Raw genomic sequence first — 22,782 nt, forward strand, 5'->3', positions numbered from 1 at the left:
ATTGTGCCAGAGCAGAGCATTTGGTAAAAAATAACTACCATTAAATTGAGAGCATGAAAGAAAGCACCAGAAAATCAGCAAAATTCCGAAGATTTTACAAATACAACAGGATGAGACCCTCGACTGGGGTCACTTTCACATGAACTTGATTAGATGCGAACAGCCAGAAGCCTACACATTTCTGAAATCTCACTGCAAACATAGGCAGTGGCAGGAGGCAGGTAAGAAGCCGCCCTCCAAGTTTGCAATTGTTTAGCCCTAAAGCTGCTCACACAAGCAGGAAGTGAGTGGCACAAGCTGTGCAGCCACCAGGGAGGGCGTATTTTCTAATGTCCACTTCAGATATGGCCACAGAGCATTACCACCAAGGCAGAAGCTCCCAGGGGACGAGGCCAGAGCACACAGGAGTCTCTTTCTGAGGGCAGCAACAGGTTCAAACCAAGGAGCTTACTTCATGCCAAGAAGGCGTCTCACCGGTCCCACCCTGCAGGGTTCCACCACTGCTGCAGAGCAGAGCTGCGGGCCCTTCCCCTTCTTCCTTTTCCAAATGGGAGCTCTACTGCTCTCATCATATTCTTCCTCCACTGCTATATGCTGGTTTGGGTAGGAAACTTGGTGGATAGGGAGGAGATAACTTCTCTGTTAGTTTATAGCTTGTGGACTTCAAGAAATTGATGGAGGAGATGAACCAACACTCAGACTTGGGGGCAGTAGCTGCATTCAACTTCATTTCCATAAAAACAACTCTCTCTTTGTGCCCTTATTTCAAGGGTTTTTACACTCTTTAGTCGAATTATGTAACTATTGTAACAAGTGCAACTGGCCTACACAGGTTTGGAAATGACCCTCACTGACTCCTCCTAAGCATACACTTCAACTGGGGGAGGAGAGGAGGGCATCCAGAGAATAGGCACCTAGTGGGACGGAAGCAGCCACGAGTTTTCATTAGCGTGTTTTACAGAGAGATGAAGGGAGCTGGGAATCCAGACAAAGAGCTTCTATTATACATATAACTCCACATTGGAATTGTTTAAAAGTTGCTTTCCTTTTTGTTTTAATTAGCTTCTACTTCCCTATTCTAGAGTCCATTCTATTTGTTCATCTTGGTCCTTTTCTGTCATTGGTTTCATGCAAATGTCTGGTGACCATTAATTCTCCATTCTTATTTATGAATGAAGGATTAGGTTGACTAGTATAGGTCTGGGTTTTGGTTTCTTCCAAAGTAGTAAATTTCTGTTTCTCTAATAGGCCTCTCCCTTGCATGGGAAAGCTAAGTATGCTCTGTGGAAGCACACTGAGTTTTCCAGTGTGTTTTACTCTGGGAAGAGTCCTTTCCTTTAGTTCTCTCTCCTTTTCCATTGTAGAAGTCTGCTCTGTTTCCTATGCCTACACAAAGAATCATCTTCCCTTCGCTTCTGTAGAGAATGGTTCCAGGGTCTTTTACCCAGAGGCAACCATCCCCAGCGGCTCTGCATACCTGGGGAGGGTATAGGGTGTGTCTGGCCCAGCCAACAGGCAGTCCAGTAATGACTACCCTGCTCTCTAACGGTGCTGATTCCAAGCTGGGGGTTTGGAAGGAAAGCTTGTACCTCTACAACAGGTCTCTCCTTCATCTGTTTTGGGTTAGGGATTTGCTCTAATTTGTTTGCTCCACCAATCTGGCCCAAGCTGTTTTTTATGCTTTATACCAGTTCCTCAAAATGTCTGGTCCACTGGTGATATCCTTTCTTCACGTGCAAAGCTATTATTGATGTTCTAGTCTGTTCTATCTCATTCCTTAGAGAATCATTTTAGCAGGATTTTAGGAGGGGGCCTAGCGTTCACATACTAACAAAAAAAAAATTAGTGTTATTCTTTCATCTTAAAACCCACTAACAGTTCCCTGTTACCCAAGGGAGCAAGTGTGGCTCTACAGCACGATGCATGTTCTTTTCTCATCTGGCCATTACTCTGTCCACAGCTTCATCACCCATCAGTCTTCCAGGGCTCCTGACCCTATGAAACATTTCCCCACCAACTGCAATTGTGCCCAGAGGCACAAGTACAACATGTCGTCTCTTCCCTTTAGGTCATGGTGCAATTTCCTCTGCCTAGAAAACCTTTCCTTCCCAATTTCATCTGGAAAACTATTGTAGCCCCTTTCAATGCTTTCTGAAGCAAGAATATGAAATGAAAAAGATGAGATGTAAATCAATACAAAACGCCTACCCTGTCTTTGAAACCCTGTGCAGTGCCACTCCTCCAGGGCGCTCCTAACCCCATCCCTCAGTCATCCTTCCCAGCCGTGCTGTGTTGTGCACGACAGCATGGCCAGCCCAGGGCCCAGGAGTCCTTGTCCCCAGACCGACGCTCCTTTACGCTGGCGTATTAATTTCAAACTATGGATTCTCAGGCCCCACCTAAGGAATTATAATTCAGTTGGCTTCACATGGAACCTAGAAATTCATATTTTCAAAAAGTATCCTGGCAATTCTGTCAAGTGGTCAGGTATGGGACCCACTTCGCTATATCGCACCAGCCCCACCCTTTAGCCCTGCCATTCTTCCATTGGGGACAGGGTCTCACCGCACTGTCAGGAATCCCTGAGCATTACTCAGCAAAGGCTGGAGGCCTCACTGTCCTCCCTGAATGCAAGTGAGCCAACCACAGCCAAGTGTCCACATGGCACAGCCGCATGTCTCCTTGGGGACTAAGGCCCCACACTGAGTGAGTGGAAGAAGGACTCCTAGGAAAAAGGAAACTTGGGGCCTTGGGTTGCGGGGCTAACAGAGCAGCTGCCCAGACCCAGCTCAGGCAGACAGGAATTACCACAGTCTGATTGGAGAAGGGGTCCGTGTAGTTGATCCTCTGGGTGGTGCAATTCATGTCACCCGGCTGGCCAGGGCTTGTCAGAGGAGGAATGACCTCGTAATGGTGCTTACAGCTGAGCAACTGGGCCTGACCGGGGTACAAGGCAATACCTGGGGGCACAAACAGGAAAAGCAAGTGTCAGAAATCACACTCCTGACCACATCCCTGAAATCATCTCACACCTACCAACAACCTACGTTCTGGACTCCCTGGAGGACTGCAGGGAAGGGAGAAGAAAAGGGTTTCAGAGGGTGAGGAGCCACATCCCCTGGCCTCAGAAAGCCCCGCTGTAGCAGAGGGCACAAGCCCCTCCTCAGTAAGCCCCTGGCCAACCTGGGATCCAGCCGCCCTGATGCCCACATCAAAACCCACTCCACCTCAGAGCCCCGCTCCACACCCTCCGAAGGAGTGTCTCTTGACTCAGCCCCTGTGCCACCCCTCTGGGCCAACACCCACCTGCAGAATCACTGGGAGGCTCTAAACTGTGGAACTCCTCAGAACTCATTTTGTCTCTTAGACTGGGAGCCCCAAGTGTGCAAGTCACATCCCAAGAGTCCCTCCCTCTTCCCAGCCCAGGCACCTCTACTGACAGTAGCTGTCCAGCCTCAAGGGCAGCAATGCTAAGACAGCAGCACATGGCATCAGAGACAGACAGACTTCAGAGACACTAAGACACCAGACAGAGAAAGTAAAACGTACAGATAAAGAAGACTCAAGCAGACACACAGAGAAGAGGGACAAACACAAGACAGGAAGAGATGGGCAGAGGAGCCATGACCAGCACACCTGACTCTGCTGGAGGCTGGCAGGAAGCCCCAGAGAGAGGGCACCCGGACTCTGGCTCTGCCATGTGAGCAGGCCCTCCCACAGGTTACTCAGGGGCATCTGTGGGCAGAACAGGTGGCACACACTGGGTGGACAGGGCCCAAGTCACACAGCTCATGCCTCCTCATTTACTCTACAGCCCCTAGAACATCCAGTGCCAGCCCTGCAGCCCAGAGCAGATAGCTTGCTCTATAGCAGAGTGGACTCCCCACTCAGGGACCAGACACCCCAGTGAGACAGGTATACCCAGTGTGGCCTGGGAGTCCCTCTCCAGGCAGGGTTGAATGGCCTCGCCTCCCCTGCCATCCTCCCCACCCCACAGTCCAGCCTTGACTCCTGCTTCTCCTCATCCCTGCCCTCTGGCCCCAGCCAAGTTAGTCTCATCCTCTCCAGAGAAGCCCTCTGCCTCCCTAGACACCCCTTCGCTCTGCTGATCCCCATCCCAAAGACACTCTCTTCCCATCTATGTGCTTTTCGAGGCCCATCTCAAATCCTACCTCTCTGCCAAGCTTTCCCTGACCCCTCTAGTAGCCTGCAGTAGCTGCTCCAGGCTCTGTCCATTTCTGTCCTCAGCACGTAACACACTCCCAACAGCAGCTCCTTGGGCATAGACTCTATACCTAGACTATGCTTGGTTGGACTCCTCTGCCCTGCCCGTAGTACCACAAATACAACGGCAGCTCAGGGAGTATCTGCCAGCTGACACCCTAGATCTGGGGCCCTGATGCCTGGCCCAGGGGCAGGCTCTACCTGGGGCATCATAGCGATCCACTTCCTTGTAAGACACAGACATGACAGGGTGCTTGAGTTTCTCACGAAAGTCTGTGATGGTCCGGTAGACCAGGAAGACGGCCACAGCCATGAGCAGCAGGTAGATGAAGATGAGTAGGACCGAGAAGACGTTCTTCAGGCAGGCCTTGCTGAAGCGGATGCTGCTGGAGGCGGACTCGCTGTCCAGGCCTGACAACAACAAAACACCATGTGACCCAGGGCACAGGGACAAGGTACAGACAGAGATGGCCAGCAACCTCCAGGCCCTTGCCTGCCTCACCAAGGAGGTGAAGTCACCTGCACGCCCAACCTTTCCACCTCACCCCACAAATCATAACAAAGGGCACCTGTAAACATTTACTACACAGCTTCTCTGCCAGGTAGAGGACACCAAGCTGAAGGAGACTTATTCATTGTCTTTAAGGAGTTTACTCTCAAAAGAAAAAAGATAAAAGATAAAAAACGATAAAAATGTTAAAAGAAAAAGCAAAAAACAAACAAAAAGAACAGAAAAAAGGAGTTTACTCTCTAGAGGGATAGGCAGTTACAATCCAACAAGTGAGCTGGCCCCAACCTACCTCTCTGGCCTTATCCCTCACTGCTCCACTTCCCCAGTTCTCCCAGCTCTAGCTCCACCTCTACTCATCGACTTTCTGTTCTTCTGGAGTGCCCTTCTCAACCCGGGATTCCCTCACACTTACCATTCCCTCTGCTTGATTTTCTTTTCTTCCACAGCTGATGCTTCACTCATCCTAAGCCCCGAAAGCTTTTTGCTTGGCATCTGGCTTCCAACAGTGACAGAGTAGCTTGGTCACGCCATCCTTCCATGGAAGCATTTTAATTTAGAAAGACATTTTCTTGGCCAGGCGCAGTGGCTCAAGCCTGTAATCCCAGCACTTTGGGAGGCCGAGGCAGGAGGATCACCTGAGGTCGGGAGTTCGAGACCAGCCTGACCAACATGGTGAAACCCCTGTCTCTACTAAAAATACAAAATTAGCTGGGCGTGGTGGCGCATGCCTGTAATCCCAGCTACTCAAGAGGCTGAGGCAGGAGAATTGCTTGAACCCAGGAGGCGGAGGTTGCAGTGAGCCGAGATTACTCCATTGCACTCCAGCCTGGGCAACAAGAGCGAAACTCCATCTCAAAAAAAAAAAAAAAAGAAAAAAGAAAGAAAGACATTTTCTTGAGGAAGCCTCTCCTGACCCCTAACCTTTATTTGGGCACCTCTTCCTCAGTGTTCCCAGGGAGCCCTGTACGTCCCCTACTTCATCACTCTGCAATGTCATGTCTATACATCTTTTATCCTCCTAGGCTGTGAGTTCCATGAGGGCAGGGATGGGGCCAGTCTTATCCCTAACTGAATCCTTAGCCCTTCATGCTATGCCTGGAACATTCTGCATTTACATGGTGACTGATTGAACACGTCCTGATGCTATTGGTACAACACAACTCTGTCTCCCCTACCTCCCTCACAAAATCCTGAGGCTAGAAGCTAGATTAATCTCTGTTATGGACGAAACTGTATCCCCCACCCTCAAATTCAGGTTGAAGCCCTAACCCTCAATGTGAGTATATTTAGAGACAGGGACTTCAAGGATATAATTAAGGTTAAATGTGGCCATAAGGATGAGGCCTGATCCAATAGGACCAGAATCCTTATAAGAGGAGGAGACACTAGGAGCACATGCACACAGGAAAAAAGGCCATGTGAGGACACAATGAGAAGGCAGCCATCTGCAAGCCAAGGAGAAAGGCCTCACCAGAATTCAATCCTGCTGGCACCTTGATATTGGATTCTCGCTTCCAGAACTGTGAGAAATAAATTTCTGTTGTTTATGCCACTCAACTGTGGCATTTTGTTACAGCAGTCTGAGCTGACTAAGATACTCCCACAGGGCTCCCTGTGCCCTCTCTGCTCCTCAGCTGAAAATGGAGCTCCCTGAGAAGAAGTCCTATTTCCTCCACAGCCCAGCTGAGCACAAGGCTGAGAACAAGGGAAGCATCTGAACGTAAGCCCCAAAAGGTATCTGCTTGGCATCTGGCTTCCAACAGTGACAGAGTAGCAGTGTCACATCACCCTTCCACAGAAAACAATTATAAACTTTGGACAACATATTTTAAATTATTTGAAGGCACTGGGAGAATGATCAAAAGCAGGTAGAAATTGAAAGAGAGGCTACCCTTGAAAGAGAAGAACTGTACTTGGTGAGATTTATACATCTGTAGCTTTTTGCCTAAGAATACATGCCAATCCCTATAAGGCATGGTTCAGAGTGACAGGGACAAAGTTCAGGGCTGGAAGAGCAGCCAGAAAGTTAAGACAAAACCATGAAAGGGAGGGAGCCACACAGGGGGTGAAACTCCCAAATCTGCAACTAAATATATGTTCAGATCCTTGGCTGGAGAACCCAGGGGGGGCCAGCAAAAAGTAACAACTGGAAATTGAAAGAACTGCATGGAGATTTCAACTACGGCTAATGCAGGGGAGATAGGAGTTTAGAGCTTAAATCTTGCCATATTAACAATATGCCAAGAAAAAAAAATACCCTTCTGAAGATCATAACAGAATCCAGAATCTCTATATCATTCATAATGTCCAGTGTTCAATCAAAAATCACTAGACATGCTAAGAAACAAGAAAATGTGACCTGTACTCAAGAAAAAAGCAATCTATAGAAACCAACACCAAGATGACCCAGTGTTGCAATTTAGCAGAGAGAAAATTTACAGCACTTAAAGGAAAATATCTGAATAAGGAATAAAGACAAGATCAATAGAGAAACAGAAACTAATAACAATGGCCAAATATATAGAATTTCAGTTTTGCAGGATGAAAAAGCATTGTGGAGATGGATGGTGGTGATGGTTGCACAGCAATATGAAAGTGCTTAATATCACTGAACTCTACATTTTAATGAGTAAGATGATGAGTTTTACATTACGTGTATCTAACCACTGTAAAAATGTTTCATAAAATTTAAAAAAACAGATGGAAATTCCAGATCTGACAAGAAATAAATGAAATAAAAAGTTCACTGTATAGGCTTAATAGCAAAAGATGGCAGAGAAAGAGTTTGTGAACTCAAAGTTAAATCAACAGAAACTATCCAATTTGAAGAAAATATTGAAGGAAAAAAAAAACCAAATGGAGCCCGGAAAATTGTTACAGTATCTAGCAGTGTAGTGACATGTAACTGGAGACAGAAAATGGGTCACAAAAAATATCTGAGGCCGGGGGTGTGGTGGTTCACCCCTGTAATCCCAGCACTTTGGGAGGCTGAGGCAGGCGGATCACAAGGTCAAGAGATCGAAACCATCCTGGCCAATGTGGTGAAACCCCGTCTCTACTAAAAATACAAAAATGAGCTGGGCGTGGTGGTGCATGCCTATAATCCCAGCTACTCAGGAGGCTGAGGCAGGAGAATCGCTTGAACCCGGGAGGCGGAGGTTGCAGTGAGTTGAGATCACGCCATTGCACTCCAGCCTAGGAAACAAGAGCAAAACTCCATCTCAAAAAGAAAAAAAAAAAAAAAAAAGACTATTGATATTGGGTTCTAAGATGGCTGAATAGGAACAGCTCCAGTCTACAGCTCCCAGCGAGAGAGATGCAGAAGATGGGTGATTTCTGCATTTCCAACTGAGGTACTGGGTTCGTATCACTGGGGCTTGTCATACAGTGGGTGCAGGACAGTGGGTGCAGCGCACCGAGTGTGAGCTGAAGCAGGGTGAGGCATCGCCTCACCCGGGAAGCAGAAAGGGTCAGGGAATTCCCTTTCATAGCCAAGCAAAGCTGTGACAGATGGCACCTGGAAAATCGGGCCACTCCCACCCTAATACCGTGCTTTTCCAATGGTCTTAGCAAATGGCACACCAGGAGATTATATCCCGCGCCTGGCTCAGAGGGTCCCACACCCACGGAGCCTCGCTCATTGCTAGCACAGCAGTCTGAGATCCAACTGCAAGGCGGCAGTGAGGCTGGGGGAGGGGCACCTGCCATGGCTGAGGCTTGAGTAGGTAAACAAAGCGGCCGGGAAGCTCGAACTGGGTGGAGCCCACCGCAGCTCAAGGAGGCCTGCCTGCCTCTGTAGGCTCCACCTCTGGGGGCAGGGCATAGCCGAACAAAAGGCAGCAGAAACCTCTGTAGATTTAAATGTCCCTGTCTGACAGCTTTGAAGAGAGTAGTGGTTCTCCTAGCACAGGGTTTGAGATCTGAGAACAGACAGACTGCCTCCTCAAGTGGGTCCCTGAACCCTGAGTAGCCTATCTGGGAGGCACCCCCAAGTAGGGGCAGACTGACATCTCACACGGCCAGGTACCCTTCTGAGACAAAACCTCCAGAGGAACGATCAGACAGCAACATTGGCTGTTCATCAATATTCGCTGTTCTGCAGCCTCCGCTGCTGATACCCAGGCAAACAGGGTCTGGAGTGCACCTCCAGCAAACTCCAACAGACCTGCAGCTGAGAGTCCTGACTGTTAGAAGGAAAACTAACAAACAGAAAGGACATCCACACCAAAACCCCATCTGTACATCACTATCATCAAAGACCAAAGGTAAATAAAACCACAAAGATGGGGAAAAAAACAGAACAGAAAAACTGAAAATTCTAAAAATCAGAGTGCCTCTCCTCCTCCAAAGGAACGCAGCTCCTCACCAGCAACGGAACAAAGCTGGACAGAGAATGACTTTGATGTGTTGAGAGAAGAAGTCTTCAGACGATCAAACTTCTCCAAGCTAAAGGAGGAAGTTCAAACCCAACGCAAAGAAGTTAAAAACCTTGAAAAAAGATTAGACGAATGGCTAACTAGAATAACCAATGCAGAGAAGTCCTTAAAGGACCTGATGGAGCTGAAACCCATGGCATGAGAACTACATGATGAATGCACAAGCTTCAGTAGCCGATTCAACCAACTGGAAGAAAGGGTATCAGTGATGGAAGATCAAATGAATGAAATGAAGCGAGAAGAGAAGTTTAGAGAAAAAAAGAATTTAAAAAAACGAACAAAGCCTCCAAGAAATATGGGACTATGTGAAAAGACCAAATCTACGTCTGATTGGTGTACCTGAAAGTGACGGGGAGAATGGAACCAAGTTGGAAAACACTCTGCAGGATATTATCCAGGAGAACTTCCCCAACCAAGCAAGGCAGGCCAACATTCAAATTCAGGAAATACAGAGAATGCCACAAAGATACTCCTCGAGAAGAGCAACTCTCAGACACATAATTGTCAGATTCACCAAAGTTGAAATGAAGGAAAAAATGTTAAGGGCAACCAGAGAGAAAGGTCGGGTTACCCACAAAGGGAAGCCCATCAGACTAACAGCTGATCTCTCAGCAGAAACTCTACAAGCCAGAAGAGTGGGGGCCAATATTCAACATTCTTAAAGAAAAGAATTTTCAACCCAGAATTTCATATCCAGCCAAACTAAGCTTCATAAGTGAAGGAGAAATAAAATACTTTACAGACAAGCAAATGCTGAGAGATTTTATCACCACCAGGCCTGCCCTAAAAGAGCTCCTGAAGGAAGCACTAAACATGGAAACGAACAACTGGTACCAGCCACTGCAAAAACATGCTAAATTGTAAAGACCATCAATGCTAGGAAGAAACTACATCAACTAATGAGCAAAATAACCAGCTAACATCATAATGACAGGATCAAATTCACACATAACAATATTAACCTTAAATGTAAATGGGCTAAATGCTCCAATTAAAAGACAGACTGGCAAATTGGATAGTCAAGACCCATCAGTGTGCTGTATTCAGGAAACCCATCTCACGTGCAGAGACACACATAGGCTCAAAATAAAGGGATGGAGGAAGATCTACCAAGCAAATGGAAAACAAAAAAAGGCAGGGGTTGCAATCCTAGTCTCTGATAAAACAGACTTTAAACCAACAAAGATCAAAAGAGACAAAGAAGGCCATTACATAATGGTAAAGGGATCAATTCAACAAGAAGAGCTAACTATCCTAAATATATATGCACCCAATACAGGAGCACCCAGATTCATAAAGCAAGTCCTTAGTGACCTACAAAGAGACTTAGACTCCCACACAATAATAATGGGAGACTTTAACACCCCACTGTCAACATTAGACAGATCAACAAGACAGAAAGTTAACAAGGATATCCAGGAATTGAATTCAGCTCTGCACCAAGCAGATCTAACAGACATCTACAGAACTCTCCACCCCAAATCAACAGAATATACATTCTTCTCAGCACCACACCACACCTATTCCAAAATTGACCACATAGTTGGAAGTAAAGCTCTCCTCAGCAAATGAAAAAGAACAGAAATTATAACAAACTGACTCTCAGACCACAGTGCAATCAAACTAGAACTCAGGATTAAGAAACTCACTCAAAACCCCTCAACTACATGGAAACTGAACAACCTGCTCCTGAATGACTACTGGGTACATAAGGAAATGAAGGCAGAAATAAAGATGTTCTTTGAAACCAATGAGAAGAAAGACACAACATACCAGAATCTCTGGGACACATTTAAAGCAGTGTGTAGAGGGAAATTTATAGCACTAAATGCCCACAAGAGAAAGCAGGAAAGACCTAAAATTGACATACTGACATCACAATTAAAAGAACTAGAGAAGCAAGAGCAAACACATCCAAAAGCTGGTAGAAGGCAAGAAATAACTAAGATCAGAGCAGAACTGAAGGAGACTGAGACACAAAAAACGCTTCAAAATATCAATGAATCCAGGAGCTGGTTTTTTGAAAAGATCAACAAAATTGATAGACAGCTAGCAAGACTAATAAGGAAGAAAAGAGAGAAGAATCAAATAGACACAATAAAAAATGATAAAGGGGATATCACCACCGATCTCACAGAAATACAAACTACCATCAGAGAATACTATAAACACCTCTACGCAAATAAACTAGAAAATCTAGAAGAAATGGATAAATTCCTCGACACATACACCCTCCCAAGACTAAACCAGGAAGAAGTTGAATCTCTGAATAGACCAATAACAGGCTCTGAAATTGAGGCAATAATTAATAGCTTACCAACCAAAAAAAGTCCAGGACCAGATGGATTCACAGCCGAATTCTACCAGAGGTACAAGGAGGAGCTGGTACCATTCCTTCTGAAACTATTCCAATCAATAGAAAAAGAGGGAATCCTCCCTAACTCATTTTATGAGGCCAGCATCATCCTGATACCAAAGCCTGGCAGAGACACAACAACAAAAGAGAATTTTAGACCAATATCCCTGATGAACATCGACGCAAAAATCCTCAATAAAACACTGGCAAACCGAATCCAGCAGCACATCAAAAAGCTTATCCACCATGATCAAGTGGGCTTCATCCCTGGGATGCAAGGCTGGTTCAACATATGCAAATCAATAAACATAATCTGCATATAAACAAAACCAAAGACAAAAACCACATGATTATCTCAATAGATGCAGAAAAGGCCTTTGACAAAATTCAACAGCCCTTCATGCTAAAAACACCAATAAATTAGGTATTGATGGGACGTATCTAAAAATAACAAGAGCTATTTATGACAAACCTACAGCCAATATCATACTGAATGGGCAAAAACTGGAAGCATTCCCTTTGAAAACTGGCACAAGACAGGGATGCCCTCTCTCACCACTCCTATTCAACATAGTGTTGGAAGTTCTGGCCAGGGCAATCAGGCAGGAGAAGGAAATAAAGGGTATTCAATGAGGAAAAGAGGAAGTCAAATTGTCCCTGTTTGCAGATGACATGACTGTATATCTAGAAAACCCCATCGTCTCAGCCCAAAATCTCCTTAAGCTGATAAGCAACTTCAGCAAAGTCTCAGGATACAAAATCAGTGTGCAAAAATCACAAGCATTCTTATACACCAACAACAGACAAACAGAGAGCCAAATCATGAGTGAACTCCCATTCACAATAGCTTTAAAGAGAATAAAATACCTAGGAATCCAACTTACAAGGGATGTGAAGGACCTCTTCAAGGAGAACTACAAACCACTGCTCAATGAAATAAAAGAGGACACAAACAAATGGAAGAACATTCCATGCTCATGGATAGGAAGAATCAATATCATGAACATGGCCATACTGCCCAAGGTAATTTATAGATTCAATGCCATCCCCATCAAGCTACCAATGACTTTCTTCACAGAATTGGAAAAAACTACTTTAAAGTTCATATGGAACCAAAAAAGAGCCCGCATTGCCAAGTCAATCCTAAGCCAAAAGAACAAAGCTGGAGGCATCACGCTACCTGACTTCAAACTATACTACAAAGCAACAGTAACCAAAACAGCATGGTACTGGTACCAAAACAGAGATATAGACCAATGGAACAGAACAGAGCCCTCAGAAATAATACCGCACATCTACAACTATCTGATCTTTGACAAACCTGACAAAAACAAGCAATGGGGAAAGGATTCCCTATTTAACAAACGATGCTGGGAAAACTGGCTAGCCATATGTAGAAAGCTGAAACTGGATCCCTTCCTTACACTGTATACAAAAATTAATTCAAGATGGATTAAAGACTTAAATGTCAGACCTAAAACCATAAAAACCCTAGAAGAAAACCTAGGCAATACCATTCAGGACATAGGCATGGGCAAGGACTTCATGTCTAAAACACCAAAAGCAATAGCAACAAAAGCCAAAATTGACAAATGGGGCCTAATTAAACTAAAGAGCTTCTGCACAGCAAAAGAAACTACCATCAGAGTTAACAGGCAACCTACAGAATGGGAGAAAATTTTTGCAATCTACTCATCTGACAAAGGGCTAATATCCAGAATCTACAAAGAACTCCAACACATTTACAAGAAAAAAAAAACAACCCCATCAACAAGTGAGTGAAGGATATGAATGGATACTTCTCAAAAGAAGACATTTATGCAGCCAACAGACACATGAAAAAATGCTCATCATCACTGGCCATCAGAGAAATGCAAATCAAAACCACAATGAGATACCATCTCACACCAGTTAGAATGGCGATCATTAAAAATTCAGGAAACAACAGGTGCTGGAGAGGATGTGGAGAAATAGGAACACTTTTACACTGTTGGTGGGACTGTAAACTAGTTCAACCGTTGTGGAAGACAGTGTGGCAATTCCTGAGGGATCTAGAACTAGAAATACCATTTGACCCAGCCATCCCATTACTGGGTATATACCCAAAGGAATGTAAATCATGCTGCTATAAAGACACACGCAAACATATGTTTATTGCAGCACTACTCACTATAGCAAAGACTTGGAACCAAGCCAAATGTCCAACAATGATAGACTGGATTAAGAAAATGTGGCACATATACACCATGGCATACTATGCAGCCATAAAAAAGGATGAGTTCATGTCCTTTGTAGGGACACGGCTGAAGCTGGAAACCATCATTCTCAGCAAACTATCACAAGGACAAAAAACCAAACACTGCATGTTCTCACTCATAGGTGGGAACTGAACAATGAGAACACTCGGACACAGGAAGGGGAACATCACACACCGGGGCCTGTTGTGGGGTGGGGGAAGGGGTAGGGATAGCATTAGGAGATATACCTAATGTAAATGACGAGTTAATTGGTGCAGCACACCAACATGGCACATGTATACATATGTAACAAACCTGCATTGCGCACATGTACCCTAGAACTTAAAGTATAATAAAAATATACATATACATATTGAAAAAAAAGAAATCTGAAAAAAAAATGGCCCAAAACTGGAGAAAGACAACAACTTACAGATCCAAGAAGCTCAATAAACGCCAACCAGGATAACTTAAAAAAAAAAAAAAAAAACCATCCCGAGGCAAATAATAATCAAAGTGCTAATGTAAAGAAAAGAGAAAAATCTTGAAGGCAGTGAGGGAAAAAAATATCTATCTATCTATCTATCTATCTATCTATCTATCTATCTATCTATCTATCTATTACATATAGAGCACTGATATTAACGACAACTAATTTCTGAACAGAAACAATGGAGGCCAGAAGACAATGGAACATCTTCAAATGCTGAAAGAAAAAAAATTTTTTGTCTACCAGTATAATTCTCTATCCAGCAAAACTTCAAAAATGAAGATGAAATAAAGATATTTTGAAACACAATGGCTGAGAGAATTCATCACTAGCAGACCTGCACTAAACTGCATGCTAAGAAAAATTCTGAAAGCTAAAAGGAATTGACACTAGATGGTAACTCTCAGATGTAAAGAGCACTGAAAATGTTAAATAAGTGAGTAAAACAAAAAGCTACTTAAAAAAAATTAAGACTGCCTACAGCAGAAATTACTCAACAATATGGTAAGGTTTATAACTTGCAAGAAAGAAAAAACAGAGAAACAAACAAAAAAACCCAGCAAGACAAGTAGAAAACAGCAAAATGGTAGAGCCAAATCCAGCCATATCAATAATCACATCAAATGTAAATGGACTAAACCGTCCAATTAAAAAGCAGAGACTGTCAGTCTGGATTAAGAATAAAACCCAACCATATGCTTTGATAGCAGATTTCAAATACAAAGACACAAAAGAATATCTGCTCATAATTATTTAATTTTACTTTATTTAAAGCACAAAAGCAGGCTCAGCACAGAACTATCAAAGTCTCCTGGGTTGGTAAAGACAAGGAAATAATTCATTCTTTACTTCTACAAGATCAAGCACCAACTCTACATGCATGATTTTGTACTAGGTGCTTCAGGGAGATATCAAATGGAGGACTGATGGTCTCTAATCCAAAGTGCTACAGAATTCAGAAACATATAAGGATATAAAACATGAGGTTTCCTTCAACTGCAGGAAGAATGGGAAGCACAGGGAGAAGGGCAGTTATCAGCAAAGACTCTGTGGAGGGGGTCATGTTAGTTCTGCACCTAAACCACAAGGAGAATTTTAAGGAAGAAATAATTTGGTTTCCATTATTCATTTATTTTCTGACTGAAAGAGCAGATATACTGTGCAGTGGTTACGAGCATGAGCTTTAGAGTCAGAGTTTTGAGCTCCAGCTGCAGCTTTGCTACTAACTACTCCATGATCCTAGACAAGTTACTCAGTGCTCCTAAAGCCTTACATTTTTCATGTAAAAAGAAAATAATCATTTCCATTTTACAGGATTTTTGAGAGAAGCAGATGACAGAACGCTGCAAAATGCATTACACAGTGCCTGCTCAATGGTAACAATTACTGGTACCAAAGAAACAGAATGTACCCTCTACCCTTCAAAAAATGAAGTGCTCATTTATGAAAATAGCAAAAATAAAGATCATAGAACTATAATCTCTTTTGAAAAATAAATCTGAAAAGATATACATTGAAAATAAAATGGAGGCAGGGCAGAATATAGTATCTTTCACATAGTAGGAATGTAATGTTTCCATGTTTGTCGAATGAATAAATAACCTAAATAATAGATGAACTAAGTCTTGCCATGCTAACTCAATCCATCAGAGAATATTAGTGCAATCAAGCATGTAAAACTATAAACCAGTGAATGTTCCTTGCTGTTTTTTGGCAAAATACTTTAGAAGGTTTTCACTTTACACAGAAATGCAAATTTCCAGAACTGTCAGTGAGGCCCCTTTAGGTTTTAAGGAACAGGTTACTGTGGGCAGTGGAGGTTTACTCTACAGGTACGAGGATAAGTGAGAACTGGGGAAACCCAATGGGTAGCTGAGAGCTAAGCCACCAAGGTCCACAGCAGCTCTAGTTGTCCAAAAGGAATTAAGGCAATTCTTTCTCATCTCAGCCTCTTTTGTGTTTGATTTCACTTTTGCCTCTACCTATTGCTAATAGACACTGTGTCAATTTCTGCTCCTTCATGGCTTTGCTATCTGCCTTCTCTCCATGTTTCTCTCTTGACCCTGCTCCACTTTACTAAGTCCTTCTCCGTGAGTCTTGCACTCAAATTCTCCCCGAGAAAGTATCCTGTATAGGGTGTTCCACCAGATACCTCACAAGACACTGACCTCCTTCAAGCCCAGCCTATAGATGGCTTCCCTTTCTTGGGTGCTGACCCCTGAGCAGTCAGCTGTAGCTGGGCTGCAGGGCCACAGGATCTATGCACAGGAACCTACCCACAGCTATTTAGCTTGGAAGGTACAACCAACTCCCATGGTCCAAATGGGACCATGGGTATCCTTCAAAACCTGATGGGTGAAAATACATTCACTGTCATGAGCTGCTCATAACTGCAGTGGCAATGAGTACCAGCTTACTACATTCTAACGGGGTTTGAAAAGATCACAAGATAAAACTGAAGGAACTCTGAAGTGACTGATTTGTTGCATAACATCTGAATCTAATTTTTAAGAGTTGACAGGGACCTAAAAGGCCATCTGGCCTAACTCTACTCTTTGTACAACAATCCAGATCCCACAGCCAGTAACTGGCACAATCAGAATGAGAGAGTCTTAAGAGTCCTGACTCCTAGCCCAATGCTCTTTCCCTACACAACTGTGAGCATTTTTACAATTACAGTCATTAATAATAAAAGATGTAATTGAAAGAATATAACTTCGTAACAAGTAGAGAAGTCTGAAACACTTTTTTTTTTTTTAAGAGACACGGTCTCACTCTGTCACTCAGGCTGGAGTGCGCTGGTGTGATCATAGCTCACTGCAGCCTTGAACTCCTGGACTCAAGTGGGGTCTCACTCTGTCACTCAGGCTGGAGCGCAGTGGCATGATTTTTGGCTCACTGCAACCTCCACCTCCCAGGCTCAATCAATCCTCCCATCTCAGCCTCCTGAGTAGCTGGGACTACAGGCACATGCCACCATGCCCAGCTAATTTTTGTTATTTATTGTAGAGATGGGGTTTCACCATGTCACCTAGGCTGGTCTAGAACTCCTGTACTCAAGCAATCCACCCGCCTCGGCCTCCTAAAATGCTGGGATTACAGGCGTGAGCCACTGTACCTGACCTGGAAAACTTTTTTTTTTGAGACGGAGTTTCACTCTTGTTGCCCAAGCTAGAGTGCAATGGTGCAATCTTGGTTCACCGCAACCTCCGCCTCCTGGGGTCCAGTGATTCTCCTGCCTCAGCCTCCCAAGTAGCTGGAATTACAGGTGTGCGCCACCACACCTGGCTAATTTTTTATATATTTAGTAGAAACGGGCTTTCACCATGTTAGCCAGGCTGGTCTCAAACTCCTGACCTCAGGTGATCTGCCCACCTCAGCCTCCCAAAGTGCTGGGATTACAGGGATGAGCCACTGCACCTGGCCCAGAAAACTTCTAAGACAAACTCTATACTACATCCAGGCTGAACAATATAATAAAGACGAACGATGACTGGCATCTGTGGACAGGTGTGTCCACTCTGCATTAAGCCAGATAAACATGATTTGAAATGTTTTGCCTTCATGATGGCCTTGGTTAAGGAAAGAGATGAAGTTCTCCCTACATGTTCCTGAAAATTCTAAAAATAGGCATAAAACAAGAAGATCACATGCCAATTCTATCACTGCAATTCATCTGGGAGAGGTACTTGGAACAAATTACTTGCATGGGAACATTGACCAAAAGCCTTCTCTTCTGTTTTACTCACAGAAGCCAAGTTTAGCTTCTTTACAGGCCTCTTCTTGATCCACAAATAGGAGTGTGATCTAAATAAAAACTGTAAAACTATTTACTTATCCTCCACACTTGCTATAAGTAACACTCCAATTCCAAAACTAGACACCATTATACTTTATCATAAAAAAAAAACAGTGCTGGTTATTTGATAAAATGTCCCACGCACTATGTAGTGAGAAAACTAACACTGGCTTTTTGTGGCAAACTGGATGAATGTGCTTTAAAAGTATCATCCTTTAAATGAATGCAAACTCAGGGTAGTAGGAAGACAAAAATAATGCACAAGATGTTCCTGGGAAAGGTAGTTTATATGCTTTGTAAAATTCAAGACAGAATTCCTTCAAAACCCCAAACTTGCCCCAGAATGCAAGTTCATCCACTAAGGGGATCTGTGATGGGCAATTCAGTTACTGAAAATATCATGGAACCTCTATTTAGAGGAAGGGGGCTTGGTTGTCTGCCATAATCCTGTGAAACTCCACCTTGCAGGGAGCACTAGGCTAAGAGGCATTCTGAATTTTTTGCCTACCTTTTTTTTCTGTTTAGTGTGGTCAATTTTGTTTCTCTTTTTTAGATATAATTTACATACCATACAATTTACCCTTTTAAAGTAAATATATTCAGCAGTTTTTTGTATATTCACAAGATGTATAACCACCACCACTATCTACAGAAAATTTTCATTACCCAAAAAGAAACTCCATACCCAAGAGTGGTTACTTCCCCTTTCCTGGCAACCACTAATCTAATTTCTGTCCCTATGGATTTGCCTGTTCTGAACATTTCACATAAAGGGCATCATATATGTGGCTGTGTCTGACTTCTCTCACTATGTTTTCGAGATACAGCTAGGCGCGGTGGCTCACACCTGTAATCCCAACACTTTGGGACTCTGAGGTGGGAGGATCACCTGAGGTCAGGAGTTCGAGAACAGCCTGGCCAACATGGCAAAACCTCGTCTCTACTAAAAATACAAAAAGTAGCTGGTTGTGGTGGCACATGCTTGTAATCCCAGCCACTCGAGAGGCTGAGGCAGGAGAATCACTTGAACCCAGGAGGCAGAGGTTGCAATGAGCCGAGACGGCGCCACTGCACTCCAGCCTGGGCAACAGAGACTCTTGTCTCAAAAAAAAAAAAAAAAAAAAAAATTTATCCAAGTTACAGCATGCATCAGTTCCTTTTTTTTTTTTTTTTGAGACAGAGTCTCCCTCTGTCACCCAGGCTGGAGTGCAGTGGCACCATCTTGGCTCACTGCAACCTCCACCTCCCGGGTTCAAGTGATTCTCCTGCCTCAGCCTCCCAAGTAACTGGGATTACAGGTGTGCACCACCATACCTGGCTAATTTTTCATATTTTTGTTAGAGACGGGGTTGCACCATGTTGGTCAGACTGGTCTTGAACTCCTGACCTCAAGTGATCCACCCGCCTTGGCCTCCCAAAGTGCTGGGACTACAGGCATGAGCCACCGCACCCAGCCAGTTCCTCATTCTTTTATTGTCAAATAATATTCTATTGTGTGAATGTACCATTTTACTTATCCATTCATCAGTTGATAGTCATTTGGCTTATTTCCACTTTTTGACTATTACAAATAAAGCTGCTATGAATATTCATGTACACATTTTTTGGAGATGTAAGTTTTCATGTGGACGTAAGTTTTCATTTCTCACGAATATACACCTAGGAATGGAATTGCTGGCCCATATGGTAACTCTGTAGTTAACCTTTTGAGGAACTGTCAGACTATTTTCCACAGCAGCTGCACCATTTTACATTCCTATCAGCAACGTATGGGGGTTCCAATCTCTCTACATCCTTGCCAAAACTTATTATCCACTTTTTAAAAATTATAACCATCCTAGTGGGTGTGAAGTGCTATCTCATCGTGATTTAGAGTTGCATTTCCTTGATGACTAATGATGTTGGCATTATTTCATGTGCTTACTAGTCATTTGTATATCTTCTTTGGAAAAATGTCTATTCAGATTCTTTGCCCATTTTTAAACTGAGTTATTTGTCTTTATTGTTGAATTGTAGGTGTTCTTTATATATTCTAAATACCAGTCCCTTATCAGGTGTATGATTTGCAAATACTTTTTCCCATTCTGTGGGCTGTCTTTTCACTTTCTTGATAGTGTCCTTTGATACACAAAAGGTCTTCTTTTGAGGGGGACGGGAATGGAGTCTCACTCTGTCACCCAGGCTGGAGTGCAACAGCACGATCTTGGCTCACTACAACCTCCGCCTCCTAGGTTCAAGCAATTCTCCTGCCTCAGCCTTCTGAGTAGCTGGAATTACAGGCATGAGCCACCATGCCTGGCTAACTTTGCATTTTTAGTAGAGGTGGAGTTTCACTATGTTGGTCAGGCTGGTCTCAAAATCCTGACCTTAGGTGATCCACCCACCTCGACCTCCCAAAGTGCTGGAATTACAGGCGTGATCAACCGTGCCCAGCCAAGGTTTTCATCTTGATAAGGTCTAATCTATGAATTTTTTCTTTGTCTATCCCATTATATACAGTTGTTTCTATGGAGAACTGATTGTAATGACTAATTAACCAAGGGTTTTCCTCAGTTTGATTACATCTCTGATGTAAGAAAGTGCTTATTCTATTAGCATGTCTGATGTCATTTCTCCCTTTGAACAGAATACTAATTGGTTCTGATTCACTTGATAGACAGGAAATGAATAGACTAAAGCTTTTAGTGCATTATGGTATGGAATTATGTATTCCAGAGAATAAAACTGATTTACAACCCTGCACGTTTGGGTGCTTAACTTGAATCTCTGCTACACTGTCCTCCTTTCTTGCAGCTCCTACCTCCAGGCCCTCCATTCAACTCCTTTTCCAGCCCCAGCTCCTCTTTTGGCCCCCAAACAGGGATGTTTGTGAGGTTCAGTCTTCATGGCCCCCCTGCTCATTTTCCATCTGTCCCTGTGACCTTGCCCCCATGGGATTTCTCCAGGTTGCACAACTCCAGCCCTCCCTTCTCTCCTGTCCATCCTGTAACTGTCACTGCCTCTGGGCCATCTCGACTTCAACTGACCGTATGCCAACAACAAATAGGTTTTTTTTCTTTTTTGAGACAGGGTCTCTCACTCTGTCGCCCAGGCTGGTGTGCAGCAGTGCAATCTCAGCTCACTGCAACCTCCGCCTCCTGGGCTCAAGCGATTCTTCCACCTCAGCCTCCCAAGTAGCTGGGATTACAGATGCATGCCATCATGCCCAACTAATTTTTGTGTTTTTTGTAGAGACAGAGTTTTGCCATATTGCCCAGGCTGGTCTTGAACTCCTGGCCTCAAGTGACTCACCCGCCTCAGCCTCCCAAAGTGCTGGGATTACAGGCGTGCCACCACACCTGGCCATCTTCTTTTCTAAGCCATTTGCCTCTCTAGGCTCCATCTCTATGTAGTATCATTCTCCCGTTTGCCTGGCTTCAAAATTAAGAATCCTCTTTGATTCTTCCTTCTCCCCCTCTGCTACAGCAAAGCACCCTCTCACATCAGCCTTTGCCGCAGCATGGTTGTCTCCCTTTGCCTTAATCCAGCCACATTCATCTGAATCCTCACTTTACTCCTCTTACTGTCCTGTTCCAATCCTTTTATTTTTTATTTATTTATTTTTTTGAGACAGAGTCTCGCTCTGTCGCCCAGGCTGGAGTACAGTGGCGCGATCTCAGCTCACTGCAAGCTCTGCCTCCCAGGTTCACGCCATTCTCCTGCCTCAGCCTCCCGAGTAGCTGGGACTACAGGTACCCACCACCACTCCTGGCTAATTTTTTGTATTTTTAGTAGAGACGGGGTTTCATCGTGTTAGCCAGGATGGTGTCGATCTCCTGACCTCGTGATCCACCCACCTCAGCCTCCCAAAGTGCTGGGATCACAGGCATGAGCCACCGCACCCAGCCCCAATCCTTTTAAATACTCCCTGCTCCCTACTAGATAATGTACAGACCCTGACACTCAGACCCCTCCATAATCTGACCAAGTCTATCTTTCCTACCTCATCTCCCTCTACTTTGCTCACCAGCCCTCTGCCCCAACCATACCATGCTATTCATGATCTCTGACATGTCCTATTTTATTCCCATCTCTATACAGTTGCTCATGTCATCTCCCTTCCCTAGCCAGCCCCTTCTTTTTCACCTACATGTTACCTTTCCTTCAGAGTAGTCCCACTTTCTCAAACCAGCCAGCCTTCCTTCCTTTTTTTTTTTTTTTTCCAAGTAGCTGGGATTACAGGCGTGCATCATTCCTGGCTAATTTTTGTATTTGTATTTTTATTTTTTGAGATGGAATCTTGCTCTATCACCCAGTCTGGAGTGCAGTGGCACAATCTCGGCTCATTGCAACCTCCGCCTCCCGGCTTCAAGTGATTCTCCTGCTTCAGCCTCCTGAGTAGCTGGGATTACAGGCATCTGCCACCATGCCCCGGCTAGTTTTTTTGGTATTTTTAGTAGAGATGGGGTTTCACCACGCTGGCCAGGCTGGTCTCGAACTCCTGACCTCAGATGATCTGCTCGCTTTGGCCTCCCAAAGTGCTGGGATGAGCCACAGTGTGAGCCCCTTCAGGTGTGAGCCACCACGCCAGGCCCCTTCATTAATTTTGAAGCACCTGACTCTACCATTTCTTTGGCCCTCATTCATTCATTCCAGTTAGCTCAGTTGCTCCTAGATGAGAGGCTCTCTTGCTCTAAATCTCCACTGCTCTCCCCCAGAGGACAAATAGGTACTGAGTACCTACAGTACT

The 22,782-nt window shown here is 44.2% G+C and overlaps 1 protein-coding gene across 12 annotated transcripts in view, besides 1 other annotated feature; it reads right to left on the reverse strand.

Annotated features, from left to right (window-relative positions):
• PACC1 (proton activated chloride channel 1) overlaps positions 1–22,782 on the reverse strand; it is a 50,959-nt gene that overhangs the window by 18,538 nt on the left and 9,639 nt on the right. For 11 of the 12 annotated variants that reach the window (NR_165303.1, XM_047424319.1, NM_001377479.1 and 8 more), the window contains 2 exons: positions 4,426–4,635; positions 2,809–2,960 (listed from right to left, as the gene is read on the reverse strand). Coding sequence is in view for 11 of the 12 variants with exons in the window: in XM_047424320.1 (XP_047280276.1) it covers positions 2,809–2,960; positions 4,426–4,635 (362 nt within the window). In the remaining variant the exon portion in view is untranslated. The remainder of the gene's footprint in view (positions 1–2,808; positions 2,961–4,425; positions 4,636–22,782) is intronic. The other variant, NM_001377478.1, reaches the window with a different exon arrangement.
• Positions 2,618–2,801: a silencer, noted in NCBI's record as "fragment chr1:212558425-212558608 (GRCh37/hg19 assembly coordinates)". NCBI's record gives its function as "represses an EF-1alpha promoter that drives an FKBP-Casp9 reporter gene in an ReSE screen in HepG2 liver carcinoma cells {active_cell/tissue: HepG2}" and the evidence as "EXISTENCE:reporter gene assay evidence [ECO:0000049][PMID:32094911]".

This window comes from Homo sapiens, chromosome 1 (genome assembly GCF_000001405.40).
Source record: "Homo sapiens chromosome 1, GRCh38.p14 Primary Assembly".
NCBI lineage: Eukaryota > Metazoa > Chordata > Mammalia > Primates > Hominidae > Homo > Homo sapiens.